The sequence below is a fragment of the Homo sapiens genome, chromosome X (genome assembly GCF_000001405.40).
Source record: "Homo sapiens chromosome X, GRCh38.p14 Primary Assembly".
NCBI lineage: Eukaryota > Metazoa > Chordata > Mammalia > Primates > Hominidae > Homo > Homo sapiens.
In genome coordinates, this window is record NC_000023.11 from 7075055 (window position 1) to 7094450 (window position 19396).

Sequence of the window (19396 nt, forward strand, 5' to 3'; positions counted from 1 at the left end):
CACACCTGGTTTTTGTCCCCAGTTCATGACATGGAGCTCCTAAAACACTTGGAATTTCTGAGTCATTAATAAGCCATTTTCAACCTAATAAGATGCCTCTAGTGGACCCAGGATAGCTTTAGGACAGGGTCTGGACATCAGAAAGACCAAATATGCGATTAGAAGATTAGGTCTGGGCACGGTGGCTCACGCCTGTAATCCCAGCACTTTGGGAGGCTGAGGCGGGTGGATCACGAGGTCAGGAGTTCAAGACCAGCCTGGCCAACATGATGAGACCCTGTCTCTACTAAAAATAGAAAAATTAGCCAGGCGTGATGGCACACGCCTGTAATCCCAGGTACTCAGGAGGGTGAGGCAGGAGAATCGCTTGAACCCGGGAGGTGGAGGTTGCAGTGAGCCGAGATCATGCCACTGCACTCCAACCTGGGCAACAGAACGAGACTCCATCTCAAAACAAACAAACAAACAAACAAACAAGACTGGAACTTTCAGCCCTCCCCCTCATCTCCAGGGAGGGCACCTTGGCCTGGATTGAGTTCAATGAGCAATCGTCAGTGATGTCATCACTCACACCTACGTAAGAAAGCTCCATAAAAACCTCTACATAAGGGGCCTGGGGAGCTTTGAGTTTGGTGAGCACATGGAGGTGCTGGGAGGGTCAGGTGCCCAGAGAGGGCAGGGGAGCATTGCAACCACCCGCCATACATTGGCCAATGCCTTGCTTCCATTTGGCTGTCCCTGAGTTTTATCCTTCATAACAAAGCAGCAAGTGTATGAAAGTGTTTTCCTGAGCTCTGTCAGTCATGTTAGGGGATTATTAGACCTGAAGAGAGGATTGCAGGAACCCCCAATTTGTAGCCAATCAGAAGTACAGGTGGCCCCTGGAACGTGCAATGGGCGTCTTGTGGGACTGGGGCCTTAACCTTCGGGGTCTGGGCTAACCGTAGGAGTCAGTGTCAGAACTGAACTGAATTGCTGGATGCCCACTTAGCTTCAGAGAATCAGAGGCCTGTGTACTGAGGCACAGGTTCCGGCTGCCTCTATAGGCTCAAGGTAGTAAGTTGCACCCTGGGCAAAAAACAAAACAAAACAAAACAACAACAACAAAAAACAGGTCTTTCAAGACTACTCCGGTAGCTCCGCTTTATTGGGAAGGTTTCTGAGTAATTTCCCTGAGCTCGTGATTGGTGTCACTGGTTAGTAATGAGAGGTGAGGCCTGAAAAAGACCTCTCACTGAAAGGCTCTTCCCCACAAACCACAAAAGTCCTCACATGCAGGAACCCAGGGGAAGCAGGCATTTGCAGAGACTCCCCGACGGATGCCCTCCCCAGCTGCTTACACTTACATCGCCAGCGGGAGCCCCCCTTTCAAGGGTGACTTCCTGTGATTCTGGAATCTGTACCTGCAGATCGTTCAGGCCAAGGACTCCATCTTGGCAGTCACAGAACGGTCAGAGGAATCTGGAGCCAGGCCCAGCCACCACAAGCGGTCGGCTCTCTAAACGCTCTGCCCAGGTCACCTGAGGAGGAGCCTTATTTAACAAGAAGAGGGAGCCAGGGGCCGTCTCCACTGCATACCCTGCATGGTCAAGCAGCCGTGGTGCGGGACAGGGGGTGCCACGGCATACAAGCCCACCAGCTGCCACTTTCCAATGGAGAAATGGATGGAAGTCCAAAAACTTGGCGATAAAAACCCAGCGTCACTACACAAGCAAAAACTGCAGCAACCAACGAGCACTCTATAAGCAGTTGGGGAGGGGAAGTGAGTTTTAGTGATTTACATCTGAACTGCAGTGAATACTCACCTTAAAGCCTGCACCTAGACAATAAGACTGTTTTAAGCCCCACATCATTAAAACCGCCGCTTCCCTGGAAAATGTCTGAATAGGCCTTGTTCTGGCACTGTAAGCTTCTCAGATTGTCCCTGAGACCCAGTGGATTCTGGCTGAGTCTCCCTGGCCTGGTGACTTAGGTGCGGCCACGATTCCTCACAAAATCTTCCAACCAGACCATCTCCCTGCCCACATACCCAAGTTCTAGGGAGCATTGCAAAGTGGCCTTCAACAGCACAAACCACAACTTTTCACATTTAGCAAACACTACATGGATATTATTTGGTGGAACATGGTTGTGGAACACGGCCCGTGTCACCGGCACCCACTTACCTTCTCCATAGCAGGAGGGGGAGAGAACCTCTTGGCACAAGCTAGGAAGATGTCCGGGTCTGGCTTGCCATGCTGCACTTCGGGGTCATCTCCCAGCACAATGTGGGAAAACAAGCTGAAGAACTCCTTGTGGCGGCTTGTCTTCATATCGAACGACGCGGACCCCGAGCTGGTGGCCAGTGCAAAGGGGATGCCATGTTTCCGCAGGTGGATGATGAGTTTCTCCGCCCCTGGGGAGGAGGAGGGAAGGACTGAGGTGAGGGGCGAGGCCTCCACCATAAGACCTTCTTGCAGGGACAGTCCCTCCAGCTGTGTGGCAGCACACTCTCAGGCTGCTCCTTTTGAGGAATTTCTGACCTAGGACAGATTGTCTAAAAGCGGTTGTCAGCTCCACAACATCCCTGCTCAAATAAAACAAACCAAAAAATCAAAAAAGCTATTGGCGGTTGAGCGATACGTTTCCCAAAGGAACAGAAGAAGAGCGCACTGGGAGGCACTGCTGCTTTGCCTGCTGGGCCTCCTTATGAAACGTGGAGAAGGGCAGAGAGCAGGCCCAGGAGGTGACTGGACCTGGGATCTGGCCAGGGCACCGGGGAAGGCCCTTCAGCAGGGCCTCGCTGAACCATACTTTTTTTTCCAGAGCAGTAAATACACAAGGACTATGCTTTTGGTGTTTTCTGCAAAAATGCTGTATTCTACAGAAAACACTTCAATCATTCTTCACCCTGCTAAGGAGAGGAAATTACACAAAGGCGTCCACCAGATGCTGAAGAAGGCTGTGGCTGAGGGACTGCTGCAGCGCTACTTAACAAGGGATCAGGGGACAAAAGAAAGCTGCTGAACACAGCTGATCAACAGCAACGTGCCATATGAAAAGAGCATCCTCACACTGTCATTAGCCACACGGATTAACTACAGGGACCACACAGGTCCATGGAGGTCATCATAGAGCCAATCATGAGAGGACTAGTTATCAGAAAGAATCAAAAATACCAGGAGTCCTTCCTACCTTTAACTTATGCGACTAGCACAACAGGAACATCTAAATCCACACAAGGTGTGACGGTTTGCCTAAAATTTCATTTTATTTTTCAGACAGGGTCTCACTCTGTTGCCCAGGCTGGAGTGCAATGGCTGATCTTGGCTCACTGCAACCTCGGCCTCCCAGGTTCAAGCGATTCTCCTGCCTCAGCCTCCAGAGTAGCTGGGACTACAGGCATGTGCCACCACGCCCAGCTAATTTTTGTATTTTTAGTAGAGATGGGGTTTCACCATGTTGGCCAGGCTGGTCTCAAACTCCTGACCTCAGGTGATTCGCCTGCCTCAGCCTCTCAAAGTACTGGGATTACAGGCATGAGCTACCACGCCTGGCCTAAAATTATTTTAAATAATTGTATAATCATGCCTATTTTAATAATGTCATGATTTAATGTCCCTACTTTGTCAATTGTTACACAAAACAATCAACAGACTCATTTTTTCCGAACACCTACAGTCATTCAGGATAAGGTAACAGATATCTGGAGCACCTGACCCTCTAAAGATTTTTAAAAGGAAGGCATGGACAGATCATAATGTAGTTCCAGGACAAAGTTAAATAAAGCAAATGAAATCAAGCAAAATCTAGCACTCCACTGGGTGTAGAATTCATAGTGTCTAACATTCAATCAAAAATTACCATGCTGCAAAGAAGCAAATACCACCCACAATCAGGAGAAATAGACACAGAAATGATAGAGACAGATGGAATTAGCAGATCATGACCTTATGTAACGGCTTTATAAGTATTATAAACACACCTAAGATAGACACTATCAGAATAAAAAAGAAAAACAAAAGACCCAACTACATGTTGTCTACAGAAACCTACTTTAAATATAACTACACAGATAGATTGAAGATAAAAGGATAGAAAACTACATACCACATAACTATTGCTCAAAAGAGAGCCAGGTTACTTACATTAATAACAAACAAGCCTTTAGAACAATGAATGACTATCATCAGGGATAAATAGGGACATTTCATAATGACAAATAGATCAGTTCATCAATAAGACATAATTCTAAATGTGTAAACATCAAATAGCAGAGCTTCAGAATGCATAAAGCAAAAACCAATAGAACTGAATGGAGAAACACAAACGTAGAAGGAAGTTTAAAACTCCTCTATCAGTAATTGATAAAACAAGTAGACAGAAAAGAAGTAAGGACACAGCAGACTTCAGAACCACTGTCAAGCAACCTGACCTAATTGACGTTTATGTAATACTTCTCCCAACAACAGCAGAAACCACATTATTTTTAAGTGCACGTGGAACATTCAACAAGAAATATCCTATTATAAGGATAAAACTATTCTCAAAAATTATAAAATACTTAAAATCATACAGAATACCTTATCTAACGATGGTAGAATTAAAATAGACATTAATAATAGGAATGTGGAAAATCACAAATATTTGGATGTTACACTTCTATGTAAGACATGGGTCAAAGATGAAATCACAAAGGGAAACTAGGTAATATTTTGTAGAGAACTAAAAACTACCAAAATTTCTGGGATGTGGCTAAAACATTGCTTCGATGAAAACTGATGGCATTGAGTGATATGTTAAATAATAAGGTCTCAAATAAGTGATCTAAGTTGCCACATTGAAAACCTGAAAGAAAGAAGTTCAATGATTTAAGCTTTTACCTTAAGAAAGTGAAGGAAAAGAGCAAATTAAACCCAAAACAAATAAAAGGAAGGAAATAATAAACATGAGAGAGAAAATCAATGAAATAAAAGTAGAATACAGAAAACCAACTAAATCAAAAGCGAGTTGTTTGAGAAGAGCAATTAAATTAGTAGACTCCTAGCTAAACTGATCAAAAAAATAAAGAAGATCCAAATGTACTAACATTAGCAGGGAAAGAGGGGACAGACATCACTACAGATTCTAACATCGATAAAATGATAAAAACTTAATTATTATAGGATTAATGGCAACACATTTGACCATTTAGATGAAATGAGATAATTCTTTGAAAGATATAAAACTCCCTCAAGAAGACACAAATAACCTGAATAGCCTTCTGCCTATGAAAGGAATTGAATTTGTAATTAAAAACCTCCTTCCCACATCTAGGATCAAATGGCCTTGCTGGTAAATTTACCAACTTCCCAAGAAAAAAAGGATGCCAATTCTAAACAGACTTTTCAGGAAATTGGAGGGAACACCTCTCAACTCATTTTACATTTTACATCAGCACTTCCCTGATCCCAAAACCAGACAAAAGCCAGACAAGAAAACGACAGATCTCATGAACATACATACACATACCTCCACGCATAAAAACAATATTCAATCAGTGTAGAAGTACTCCACCTAAAGAGCTTCTACAGAACTTGAATCCATTAGTTAAAAATACTAAAATGCCACACTATTTCATTAGTTTGCAACAACCACTGATTAGTATCACAGAGGACTATATTTATTAGCTAAATTTCAATTTAAACCTTAACCTAACTGATGGATGAGATAAAAGGCTCTAATTTTTTTAAAAAAGAGACAGTCACGTGTGGCAGTGCGTCCTGTAACCCGTTACTTGGGAGGCAGAGGCAGGAGAATCGCTTGAACCTAGGAAGTGGAGGTTGCAGTGAGCCGACATAGCGCCACTGCACTCCAGCCTGGGTGACAGAGCCAGACTCCATCTCAAAAAAAAAAAAAAAAAATTAGCCAATCATGAACTTCTGTCTGGATATAAACAGTGATTAAAGCTGAGTATCAAAACAATCTGAATTTAAAACAAGATTTTTAAATTGCTAGATCACACAATTTTAAACCAATATTTTAAAAAATGGAGCACACTTAAACACATGGCTCTGTAAAACACACTGTATAAAAATTTTCTTAAAGTACTTTGGTGCTATTAATTTTAAAAACTTAAACAGATTATTTTATTATTATTGTTTTGAGACAGGATCTTGCTCTGTGACCCAGGCTGGAGCAGAGTCAAACAATCATAGCAGCCTTGACCTCCTGGGCTCAAAACGATTCTCCAGCCTCAGCCTCCCGAATAGCTGGGACTACAGGTGCATGTCACCATGCCTGGTAAATTTTTTTATGTTTTGTAGAGACAGGGTCTCCCTATGTTAGCTAAGCTAGTCTTGAAGTTCTGCTTCAAGTAATCCTCTTGCCTCGGCCTCTCAAAGCCCTGGGCTTAGAGATGTGAGCCACTGTACCCGGCCGATTATTTTATTTTAGCTTATCCTTCTTGCATTTCTATTGCTGTGAATTATTTCTAAGGTGGAGTAGATAAACAAACACACACCAATGTGTCTAGACTGGAATGCAGCTCAACATTCTTATTGATGGAGAATGAATCAAAAACGGTTTTGGACGACTGCTTTACACCACCACAACATACTGAGATCTCCAAAATGCTTGGGACTCCTATGAAGATGAAAGCCAAGACAAGACTATGACCACAGTCAGAGATTACGGGACATCCGTCAATTATACGCCCTCTTTGGGCCTCAATTTTGTCATCTGTCAAAGAGCAATGATTAACGTTCCTCATGGAATTAATTCACAAGAAGAACAATGCCTGGAAAATGACATGGGTGAGGAAGCCCCAGATAAATGTTAGGTAGTGTCGTTATCATCAGATATAGCTCCAGTGTATCATCAGGAATGAACGATCCTAATCACCTGATTCAAAACTGCCTGATGCCTTCACAAAGTTTTTCATCTTTTAAAGAGTGCACACAAACTTTGTCTCACTCAGTGGCTTTCCCTGAGAAGTAAAAGACGAAAAAATGCAAATGGAGTTCTGTTCTAGGGAGAAGCTGGTTAATTATGTGTATAAATGAACTCCAGTTCCCAGCTCCTAGAATTTGGTGTGCTTCCGTGGGTTTACAGGAAGGGCAGAGAGACAGATATCTAGGTATCTGTTGCTCCAAACAATCAGCTCACAGGACACATCTCCAGGGGAAGAACTGGGGAATGTGGAGAATCAGCACTGTGAGTGGGAAGAAACGCTCCTGCTTTCCTCCATCCTAGAGACCCAAGGTGGGTGAGAACAGGGATGTGCAATTAAACAGGATTAAACAAAGGAAAGAGGCAGAAGACAGGCAGCTGCCGCGCGGTCTCAGGTGTTCGTGGCATTCTTTTGTTGGGTGATCTGGCCATCAGAACCCTACAAGCCTGAACATTCTCTGTACTACCTAAGACCTGCAGTGAGCAACAGAATCAAGTGGGGGGTACCGGGGGTTGACAACGCAAAGTGGGAGAGGGAACCGCTTAGAGGGCCGTGCATGTCATTAACGCTGTGTGCCGAGAACCATGTCCTGGGCCTCAGTCTAGAAGAGCTCTATGAAGTGAGACATGGAAGACAGCCCGTGCCACTGGGGCAGACGATGTGGTCAGCTGATGGATGCCACCTGGCTACCTGTGAGAAGACGCTGATGCTATCCCAGGACCAGACACACCTGTGGGATTCTGCTGAGCCTCCACTTCCTGCATGGGCATCCTAAGGGTGCCTGGCCCGTCACCCCACCCCACCATGGGGAAGGTGCTTTGGCATGCTGTCTTTCTTAGGGGCTACTTTTGCAACTGCCTGAACAGCAGGTGTTATGCTTCAAAAGCTTTGTGTGACTGAGAGCAGTGGGTTGAACGGTAGCCCCCAAACAGAAGTCCTCACCCATGGTACTTCTGTCTTGTTTAGAAAAAGGGTCTTTGGAGATGTAATTAAGTTAAAAATCTTGAGATGAGCTCACTTTGCCACGTGGAAACGGAGGCAGAGACTGAAGTGATGTGGCCACAAGCCCAGGGATGCCTAGAGCCCCCAGGAGCTGGGAAAGGCAGGAAGGATCCTCCCCTAGAGCCTACAGAGGGAGTGTGGCCCTGAGACACCTTGATTTCAGACTTCCAGTCTCCAGAACTGGGAGACAGTCAACTTCTGTTATTAGAAGTTGCTGAGTTTTCAGTATCTTGTGGCAGCAGCCCCAGGAAATGAACACACAGGTGCTCTGTTCTTGAATGTGAATGAGCAGAACAGACACTGCCAGGTGTTTGTGGAAGAAGACTCAAACAGGCAGAAGACAGGAATCTGCCAGAAAAAAATGACAATCCAGAGAAAAGTGGGCGAGGAAGCAACAGTCATGATAATAATTAGTATTCATGAAGACATATAAGTTACTGAGTCCTTAAAACAAAAACAGAATGCTAGAAAAGAACAATTCCCAGAAGAAGAAAGAACATATGAGGATTAAAATAAATCAGGAGAGGAGGGCCGACACAGGCAATGTCAGCTACGACACCAAGCTGTCTGGGATGCGGTTCAAGACAGTTGTGGGGGGCAGGTGGTGGACAGACGGCTGCTCTTTCTCGTTCCTTAGAAATATGTCCGGTTTGGCTGGGCATGGTGGCTCATGCCTACAATCTCAGCACTTTGGGAGGCCGAGGTGGGCGGATTACTTGAGGTCAGGAGTTGCAGACCAGCCTGACCAACATGGTGAAATCCCATCTCTACTAAAAACACAAAAATTAGCCAGGCGTGGAGGCACATGCTTGTAATCCCAGCTACTCGAGAGGCTGAGGCAGGAGAATCACTGGAACTCAAGAGACGGAGGTTGCAGTCAGCCGAGATCACACCACTGCACTCGACAGAGAAAGACTGTCTCAACAACAACAACAACAAAAAAAAAAAGAAGGAAAAAAAAAGAAATACGTCGTGATTTTTAAAACATTGACAATATTCAAATATACACAGAAAGAAACTGCCTGATTGATATTGCTTTATTTCCTGTGAGGCAGTTTCACTTCCTGAGGACTACAGAGAAACCCTGTCACCCTCCGGCCTCCATCCTCTTCCTAAGACTCAGAATCTGAGCTGTTACCTGCATCTTTGCGGGTGAAGACATAGCTCATGTGCTTTCACTTCCTGGAAACTTTACCAGGCTTCTCACACCCTTGTAACCCGCTGGGATTCACCACAACACCTCCAGCAGCTGGCTGCAGTTATTGCGGTTGTATGTATGTGGTTAGAAACTTCCACTCAAGAATGAGTCACAACCTCTGCACTCCCAAGACCCCATGCAGACATCCAGTGAATAAACTGCTTATTTCCTGCCGTCTGTTTTCCTCATCCTCGTACTCCATCCTCTCTGTTCTTAGGAATGGAAGGCAGTGGTGGGGGCAGGAATCATTCCTTTTCCTTGCAGTACATGTGTGCAGCATGGAATAGAAAGTGATTTCAGATACATAGTGGGAAGGTGAGCTAGTTTTCCTTTGACTCCATCCATGGCTTATGAAGCAAGCTGAATGCTGGCTGTGGGGGTGTGAGGATGGCCCCTGCACTACACAACAATGCTCAGAGTTTCTCAGGGTTTGTGTTTCCAATTAGGAGGCCACGCTTGGCTGGCACATGCTGGGCCCTCAATAAATATCTATGACCGATATTGAATGGACAATTAAGGCAAAGGTCATTAAAAATAACATTTGGCTATGTGAAAATCACTCAGATTCTAGATTTTAAGTGTTCTCCCCACAAAACATGATGAGAAAGTGAGATGATGCATGTGTTCATTACCTTGACGCAGCCACTCCACAATGTATACATACTTCAAAACACGTTGTGTGTGATAACTATATACGATTTCTATTTGTCAATTAAAAAATAAATAAGTTAAAAAAATAGCATCCGGTTATCCGAGTTCATGGTGGGGAGCCTTCTCATGAAGCGGTTAGCATTCTCCTTTACACAAGACAGACCTGTTACTCTCTAATAAGATGCTGCCTCCTGGAAAATGTGTACCCAGAGAGCACACACGGTCCAGCAGACGTCGCTGTTGTGGTATAGCACATGGAGGCAGGGGATAAGATTCGATGTGATTGACAGGCACATTTATCCAAGAGAAAACTTTCAAGATCTGATGGAGTAATGCAGGGTTTCCATTCTTATTTCTTGCCTACTTGAAGTTCCTTGAGCGAGCTGAAAGCACTTACTGTTGCGAGGCTTCCTAAGGAAACATCAGTTCCAGGTTCTTCACAAATGTCACACGTGATCTCACAAGGGTACCATGTTCTGAACAACACTGAGCTTTGGAATACTAGAATTGTTGGCACTTCACAATGCAAGGACTTGTCTCGCTCTCTGAACCCTGGGTTTTACGTGGGCAACTTGGCAAGTCCACGAGCCTTCGGTCATCAATGGACAGTCAGGGGCCACATGCAGGAAGCTGTTGCTGTGTGAAGAGCTGATGCCCTGAGAGAGTGACCAAGAAGGGAGAAAGATGTCTGCAGGTCAAACAGGCACCTGGGATTCCATAAAATGGATGCAAGTTAACTTTAAATCATAAGGGGTAAGCTGTGTAGGTCAGGTATTTACAAAGGGGTCCACGAAATGGATTTTAGCAAACTTCCTTTAAGTTTAACATCTGTTTAACTTTTAAAAACATATGCTGATGCATTTATTTCTTGTTCAAGATTTATCGAAGGAAACATAATTCCATGAGGACACGCTGCTACCATTGTGATAAATGGATTGGTCATGCTCAGTGACAAAAGTGTCTCCTGGACCAGACTCTACTCAGGCTGCTCTGAGTCTTTTTCTCCACAAGGCCCCCACACTGGCCTATAAAGACTTGAACAAGTTCAACAGCTCAAGGTCACACCGCTACATGACTCTAGCCCCCTTAAAGTACTTGCCTACGAAAACTCAAGGCTGCCAAAATAACTGATTGTTGGTTCCAGCCACTCCTGCAGACAAGCCTCTGTGGAAGGGCAGGAGCCTGACTTCTATCAGCACCAGTGAAACCCAGATGGCTTCACACTGACCAAACCCTCTTCCTGCTTTCTGCAATTTTCACTTCCCCAACTCTGCTGAGCCCCTGCTGACCCCTCCCTACTCCCTGAATTTCCCTTTAAAATGCCCAGTCACCTCTGGGATAATTGATGTTGAGCCCAGTTTCACATTGGTCTCTTTTCTCTATTGCAATAGTATATTATGGAAGAAAATCTGTGCTGATCGCTTTAACTACTGTCTGGCTGTGTTTATCCTTGACACTAGAAAATAACCAAAGTCAAATTCCCCAAAGCATATAGTATTCACATTCATATATATAGTTTTAAAAACTGTGACTTTAAGTATAAATTTAAAAGAAATATTAACTAATTTAGGAAATCTGGCTAATATAGATTCTTGATTTTTTATAAGTTCTGTATGTTTATCTATTAAAATGGAACCATCACTTACAAACACTACTGTGCGCTTTTTAGTTCCCTCACAGGAAACCTCTGGTAGCCACAGCCACTGTGAGTGGGCGTCTCTTAATGATTTACTGCAGAGCCATGCCTCAGGCTATCCCTCTTCTGATCTTCTCCAAGCTCTAGGGAGCATGCTTCTTTCTCAGACATCATTGATTTTGGCAGAGCACCTCCTTCCTTTTTCTAGGCCTTCCAAATGAATTCTGCTCTTTTGAAAAGGTGCTTGCTGCTAGGGAGAGGGCCCTTGGCTGTGTGCAGATCTTCAGTCCTAATTTACTAGGGACCCGGCACCAACTCAAAGCTAATATCAGGGATCGCCACTTATGGAATTTGCACCACAGGATCCGGCTTATGGAATTGAGTGACTAACCTATATCCTGGACGTAAGACAGTGTGGTAGTGTGGAAGGAAAGGAAACAGGAGAAAGGAATTGGGTTGAGGGGCTGGAAGAGGAGCAAGGCTCTGGCAAGACTGGCTGAACCTCATGGAACACTCCAGCCAAACACGACTGACTGAGTCCGCGCCCCAGCTCAGGGCCCTCCTGGGGCAACCTGAACAGTGGCAGTCTGAGCTGGGAGTAGGAAAGTATGGGTGGAGGTGTACTGGCTTGACAGTGCTCTCCCCACAAAATTCATGTTCACCTAAAACGTGGGAATAGGACCTTAGTTGGAAATAGGGTCTTTGCAGATGTAATCAAGTTATTATGAGGCCATACTAAATTAAGGTTGGACCCTAAATCCAAAGAAAGGAGAGGGAAATTTGGAGACAAAGACACACAGGACGAGGGAGGGCGTGTGAAAATGGAGACAGAGATTGGGGAGTTGAAGGTACAAGCCAAGGAAAGCTAAGGGTGGCCGGCAACTACCAGCAGCTGAAAAGAGGCAGGAAGGATCCTTCCCTAGAGCCTTGAGAGGGAGTGCAGCCCTGCTCACACCTTGACTTCGGACTTCTAGCCTTCTGAGGTGTCAGACAGTTAAGTTTCTGCTGCTTTAAGCCACGGAGTTTGTTAATTAACACAGCACTACCAGGAAGCTAATACAGTGGGTTGACCCTGGAGGAGAAAACTTGGATAGACTGAGGTTCTATCTGTGAGATGACCTTAAACCATCTTAATTATCTTTCTCAAATTCTGGTACTTGACACACAAATTTGTGATACTTGATGGGGAGACAGTGTGGGAAACCTGTGTTTCCTTTTTTGGCAAACATTAAATACTGACAGAAATAAAGCAGTTATGAAAATAAATATAAACTAACTCCTTTCAAATCTTCAAACAAACAGTTGCAAGAGTCCAGTTTACATTTATTTGGTCTGCTGGTCCCAGGGCAATACAGGCGATGAGCATCCGACTGCCTTTGCTGTTCTACCCACAGCTGGCTGCTTGCTTTGTGGCAATAGGTGCTGTCTAATGTTCTCCGGGGTCACTGAAATGTGATCGGCCTAAACTCCTCCAGCCAAAGAAGCACCTTTCTCTAGAATCTCGTTATCAGTATCACTGATGGCACAGCTTGTGTTCTGGTCCAATTTCATAGACTTATAGCAGAATTTTAGATTAAAATGGAAAGCCAGGGAGGGCAATTCAAACCACTGATCAATGCCTGGTAATTAAGGATGGATCAAATAATAAAAATTAAAACAAAACTATTTTTTTCAGCCATTGAAAATAAAAGAGACAAAGTAATATAGAGAGTAATGCAGAAATTTTATTTAAGGAAAATTAATTTTGCATTTCTACATTAGTTTTTATGAAGTAAACGTAGGACTACAGCGTGTAATTTTTTTTTTAAGTAGCAACAGGATTTTACCAGGCTGGTCTCAAACTCCTGTCCTCAAGCAATCTGCCTACCTTGGCCTCCCACAGTGCTGCAACTACAGGTGTACAATGTGATAGTGGGACTGAATGGTCTCTCTCATTCCTCTGCTAAGCACTAGGACTTTAGAAGAAAAGCCTCTCCACCTGATCCTACTGACCCTAAGTGCCCCTCCTCCAGGCAGGACTTGACACCTTAATGTTAAAAATGACTCAATATTTCCCTGTGCTGTAGATTTGTCTCTGTAACAACTTAACGTGAAAATTTCCCTCTCACTATAGCATGGTGTACTGATCCTTGATCCTTGTTTTCCCTTATAAAGAATGACTAGACTAGGACTTAAACAATAAAATGCCGTTTTATTAATAGCATGGGATACATGTGAGTGTCCTTGTGTTCCAGATTTGCCACTGTAACAATTTACATACAAATTGCCCTCTGACTCTAGCAAGTAGTACTAACCCCTGATCCCTTTTTTAAATCCCTTGCAGAGAATTATTAGACTAGTACTTCGCAGTATAATGCCCTTTTAATAAGCACATGGAATGCATGAGAGTTTCCTTGTGTTCTAGATGTGCCTCTGTGACAACCTGCATGCAAACTGCTCTCTGACTCTAACGTTGGCTACTGATCCATGATCCTTGCTTCTCTCTCCTTTTAGAAAACGGCTATACTAGGAATGAACAGCATAATATCAACAAAAATGACAACCAAAGTTTAAGTTCTAAGCCTCTTGAAAGGGAGGAACAAATATATAGATTACAGGAGTGTCTGGAAAGGATGCATGTTCCCCAGAGGACAACATTTCAGATGTGGGTTGCCACAACAGAAGAGTGGGGGCTGAGCCGCCAGGCAGATTCTCAGTAAGCTACACAGCACCACCTGGGGGCACAGGTGGGAGCCTTCTCCAAACTCGAAGTTACTACCTGTAGTCAGTTTTTCCATCAGTGGGCCTCGAAATGTTGGTGTTTAAGAGTTGTTGTCATGAGGTAACTTCCTTCCCCAGAGAAGAGTTCTCCAGGATCTTTTTTGGTTGTGCATAAAAGAGAGTGAGGTGAAGGGACCTGGTGGGCTCACAGCGCAGGGTGCAGGGATCTTTTATCTACGTCCTCCACTGTGCCTGATCACCGGAGATCTGAAGTCTCTCTGGCTCTGTGTATAAACCTGTTTTCTGCCCCAGGTGGCATTCTGAATGCACAGCTTGGGGTGGAGGGCCCAATGGCTCCACTACTTCACATCCGGGATTTCAACCTGCTCTGTGGTGTTTTAGCTCTTCGTTTTATCCTGCCTTTTGTTTTTTTTTGAAACACAAATTCAACTTACTACCTGTTTTTAAATGAAAAGAGTCAAAAAATATGATCTTATAACCTGTGAAAATGAGATGAAGTTCCACTTTCTGTGTCTGTAGAGACAGTTTGACTGGAGTGCAGCACCAGCACCCACTCACGCACTGTTTACAGCTACTTGCTTCTTAACACAGCAAAGCTAAAGGCTTCACACATATACCATGGGGTCTGTAAAGCTGAAAACACAGAGAAAGCTTATTGGCCCCTGATAGCAAACAAATCATGTGCAGGCCCAAGAGGTGAAAGAAAAGAGGGGGTAACATCAGGAAGACAGAAAAGTAAGAGGTAAATTTTGTAATGCAGGAAATCAGCCAGGCATTGACACCTAACCCCTTTGCCCCCTTGCCTGTGACACTAATAGGAAGAATTATTGTCAGTTCTTCAAGAAATTCATGCACAGACCAGATAGGAAATTTACCTCATGAGAGAACTGCCCTCCTAGAAACGGAATCCAAAAATCCCCAACGAGTTTCTTCCATTAACCACTTAACTAAATATTCTCTACAAGTGCTCAAATTATTAGAGCGTTATTAGAGCAAATTATCAAAACAATGTTGAGAATTTAAAGTATATATAGTATCTAAATATTATATATACTATATAATAACTCATTGAAAAACATATAGCATAAGGGTTTATTAATGTTTATTAAAGTCTGATGTTCAGTTCCTGTACTTATGCAGCTAAATCCAAATACAGATATATTTTAGCTTACCATGCATAGAATATTTTATGAGCCATAGACCCACCATTTCAATGCAACCAAAGGAGCAGAAATTTTTAAATTTAAAAAAATTTTTCTTAGCCCTGTGAAATTGAATTCATATAAATCCCTAATAGACAAAAAGGATGTATATAAAGATCAAATCAATTTGATATACCAACATGCTTAAAATCTCCTTATTAAATTGCGCTTACAATAGGCTGTGCATGGTACAAAGAAAACTCAGTAAAATAAGACTCATACAACCCAGACAGTATCTGCATTGGGAATTTCGTACTATTTTCTAAAATGTGGGACATTCAGGAAATGTCCACTTCCCCCTAGCTAGCTGGTAAGTGACCCTTTGATCATATGCCTCACATCTCATCTCAGTCTTACAGGGACAGGCAGTTTCAACACCAGAAGCTCCTGTGTTGTCACAATGAAGAGGCTGGAGGCTACCATGTAAGCGACCCACTAGCCCCGACTTCACCCCAACCAGGCCAGACACAATCAGACACAATCTTGTGCTCCCCGCCATGTGACAAAGGTTACTACCACTGGCAAATTCTGAGTTCAGTGTGCAAATGTGCTATCAGTTTCAGAATCTGCTCTTTGCCCTGAAAATCAAGTAAAATGCATTCTTTTGTATTATGTAACAGATGAGAAGGAGATGACTTTGCAGAGTTTTACGTTGATATGAGAAAGAAGTGGCACTGAACACTTCCAAAGGGTCAATGGTGACTCCATGAAAAAGACTTTATGATCGTCAGGAGCCTCCTGTCCTCACAGAAGCTATACCAGCATTCTTTCTGGAGATTATATGATCTCTGTAGCCAGCTGTCAATGGTAAATAAAAAAGAAAGGGAAAGATACCGAGGAACAGTATTTTGTTCTGATCAGGACACACTTAGTTCACCACTTGACTGTGGTAACTCAGGTCTCCTAGGTTTCACTAGAATGTGGAAAGCTCTGGAAACTCAAAGGGAAGGCACATTTAACTGGACTTTTTATTCGTTCTTTTTAAGACAGAGTCTCACTCTGTCACCAGGCTGGAGTGCAGAGGCATGATCTCAGCTCACTGCAATCTCTGCCTCCCTAGTTCAAGCAATTCTCCTGCCTCAGCCTCTCAAGTAGCTGGAACTACAGGCGCCCGCCACCATGCCCAGCTAATTTTTTTTGTATTTTTATACAGACAGGGTTTCACCATGTTGGCCAGGCTGGTCTCGAACTCCTGACCTCAAGTGATCCACCTGCCTTGGCCTCCCAAAATGCTGGGATTACAGGTGTGAGCCACCGCGCCCGGCCTTAAATGGACTTTTTCTTTCATTGGCTTTCTTAAGATCTGGAGAACCTGACCAACTATCTCAAAATACTGACCATCCTCAGAAAAATATTTGATTTTGTGTCTTCTTTGATTTGCCAGAAAGCTGCTTACAGTACTAATTTCATTTACTTTGAATCACTTTTCGGGTTGCTACTTCTAAGGATCTATCACTACAAAATAAATGTATAAAACAGCTATTTAAATAGCTTATGATTAATAGCCAAAGGAAAAGATACAAACTAGGAAATGTTAACATAATAGCTCATTCAATTTTCCTGATTTTCTACTATAGCTCTCTACGTGATTAAACAATGTAAATTCTCTTACCTAAACAAGCACAAGTATTATAAAACCCAATCTGAAGAAGGCATTTAACTCATCGTAGAGAATGCCATACCTGAGGTTCTCAATAAAAGCAGCCTGGTAATGGCCTACAAGGCCAGGGTCAAACTTCTCCTTCTCCGTTTCACTTCTCTGAACCTGTATCCTCACCTACATAATGCAAATAAGAACAACCCTGACTACGTCACAAAACAAACATAAAAGTGCAAATGATATAAAGATTGGGAAAGAGTTTCAGTTTTCAATTTCTTCACAAATAAGAGGTAACAGAAAAGTATTCTTCTTTTAAATAACTCACATCAAAAATGGATTCATTTTGCCTTATGCATTCAACAATAAGACAAAAATAACAGAATACTTTAAGTTATAGTAATCCCAAACTAATTTTAAAGTTCTTAACCTAATTTGTGGACTACTTACTATAAAATATCATAGTTTCCTATTGTCAATTTTTTTTTGCAAATATTTCATAGAAATTTCAGTTTTATGGCTAGAGCTTTGTTGTGAGGAGTTTCTGTTGATGGTGTCTCTGTCAATAGTCTCAAATATTAAAGTCTTGCTCTTACAGTCTACTCTCTAAGGAATCCTCTAGAAAGGAGAGAGTAAGACTTTCCCTGTATTCTTGTGTCTACCATGCTATGGAGATGAAAGGTCCCACCGTATAGAAGTGGTGCAGAAACCACCTCAAGAGAGTAGGCGTGGTGCGAGGTACTCCTGACCTCACTCAAACCTGCCCATGACACTGGGCCCAAGTCCCCATGACCCAGGTGCTTGGGGCGTATGAGAGACACCTGTCTTCCCTGATAAGAGTGTATGATTCTGTTGGGGATAAGGAGATGCACTTATCCACAACACTTATGTGAAAAACCACATTTGTGTCTACTCACTACAGGCTTTCTACCTCATCTGCACAGGAGCTTTGCCAAAACACAACTCCAAAATCCTTGAATGGCTTCTTGCCATTTGAAAAAGAATAACTATTGTTGTATGTGGTAAAACACCTACAATATAAAATGTACTGTTTTAATGATTTCTCAGTGTACAATTCTGTGGCATTCAGTACATTCACATTGTTGTACAGCCATCACCACCATCCATGTCCAGAACGTGTTCATCTCCCCAAGGTGAAACTCTGTCCCCATTAAATGCTAAAACCTCCATCCCCCTCCCCCAGCCCCTGGCAATCACAATTCTACTTTCTGCCTCTATGGATTTGACAACTCTAGGGACATCATACTGAAGCAGGAGAATAGGGTCTGGAGGCAGGGAACCGAAAGCTGATTCATGCTGACTTCCCAGAACTCAATCAAAAGGAAAACCCCAACTTTCCATGCCCAAGTAACAAAAGGACTGGATGCTATTCCCTTTGCAAGCCTCTCCTACCTTCTCTGTGTGGCAGATGGAAAACTGAAAGTATTTCTCATTGGTTGCTTTGTGCAACCATTTCTACTACTGGCGCCAGGAGGCTGTGAGCGGGTGCTGGGACTCGGGGCAAGCTGGCAGCGCTCTACACCTGGATGCTCACCTAAAAGTCACTGCCCTCCCCACTCCCTCGTCCTGACTGCAGTGTGCAGAGAGTGCTGGCACCTAACACCCCTCAAAGCCTGTCTGTGCAGCTCCACAGTGCTGTCCTATGCTGTGAGCACACCCCTCCCGGAGGGACAGTGACTTGATTCAACCCATTGTGGTCATTTATCTACTCATTTCCTCTCCTTTGAATCGAGAGGTCCTTGAGGTAAGGATTTCTCTTGTTCATTATCCTATACTCCTAAAGACTTAGAAATCCACAGGAGAACCACCACACATTTAGAAACAGAAACTGGGCCAGGTGTGGTGGCCCATTCCTGTAATCCTAGCACTTTGGGAGGCTGAGGCAGGAGGATCACTTGAGCCCAGGAGTTTGAGACCAGCCTGAACAATATAGTAGGGCCCTGTCTCTACAGAAAAGAAAGAAATAATTAGCTGGGCATGGTGGCACACATCTGAAGTGTCAGCTACTTGAGAGGCCAAGGTGGGAGGATCGCTTGGGTTTGGGGGGATCACTTGAGCCAGGGAGGTCAAGGCTGCAGTGAGCCATGACTGCACCACTACACTCCAGCCTTGGCAATAGAGTGAGATCCTGTGTCAAACAAACAAAGCAAAAAATATAAATTGTAATTCTTTGAGAAACATCTCCACATGCGCAGTGAGGTAATATCTAGGATGATCAGAAGCAAAGATTTGTATCTTATTCTCCTTAGTCTAGGATGTCTTCATTACAATTTACTAAATAACAAGGCAATTAGCTGCCTATGAAAGTCACTATATTCAGAAAAGAGGAATAATGTCCATATACATCATTGAATAAGCTGATTTTTTTTTTTTTTTTTTTTTGAGACGGAGTCTCGCTCCATTGCCCAGGCTGGAGTGCAGTGGCGTGATCTTGGCTCACTGCAAGCTCCGCCCCGCG

General features: G+C 43.5%; 1 protein-coding gene across 6 annotated transcripts in view, besides 3 other annotated features; it reads right to left on the reverse strand.

Moving 5' to 3' along the window:
- Nucleotides 1–19396, reverse strand: part of PUDP (pseudouridine 5'-phosphatase) — a 442316-nt gene that overhangs the window by 369217 nt on the left and 53703 nt on the right. For all 6 annotated transcript variants that reach the window (XR_007068202.1, XR_001755734.2, NM_001178136.2 and 3 more), the window contains one exon: nucleotides 2166–2395. Coding sequence is in view for 4 of the 6 variants with exons in the window: in NM_001178136.2 (NP_001171607.1) it covers nucleotides 2166–2395 (230 nt within the window). In the remaining 2 variants the exon portion in view is untranslated. The remainder of the gene's footprint in view (nucleotides 1–2165; nucleotides 2396–19396) is intronic.
- Nucleotides 7085–7585: an enhancer, noted in NCBI's record as "H3K4me1 hESC enhancer chrX:7000180-7000680 (GRCh37/hg19 assembly coordinates)". NCBI's record gives its function as "activates a minimal SCP1, AML or CMV promoter by ChIP-STARR-seq in naive H9 embryonic stem cells {active_cell/tissue: H9 hESC(naive)}" and the evidence as "EXISTENCE:reporter gene assay evidence [ECO:0000049][PMID:30033119]".
- Nucleotides 7586–8086: an enhancer, noted in NCBI's record as "H3K4me1 hESC enhancer chrX:7000681-7001181 (GRCh37/hg19 assembly coordinates)". NCBI's record gives its function as "activates a minimal SCP1, AML or CMV promoter by ChIP-STARR-seq in naive H9 embryonic stem cells {active_cell/tissue: H9 hESC(naive)}" and the evidence as "EXISTENCE:reporter gene assay evidence [ECO:0000049][PMID:30033119]".
- Nucleotides 8206–8275: an enhancer, noted in NCBI's record as "active region_29383". NCBI's record gives its function as "activates an Ori minimal core promoter by ATAC-STARR-seq in GM12878 lymphoblastoid cells {active_cell/tissue: GM12878}" and the evidence as "EXISTENCE:reporter gene assay evidence [ECO:0000049][PMID:35858748]".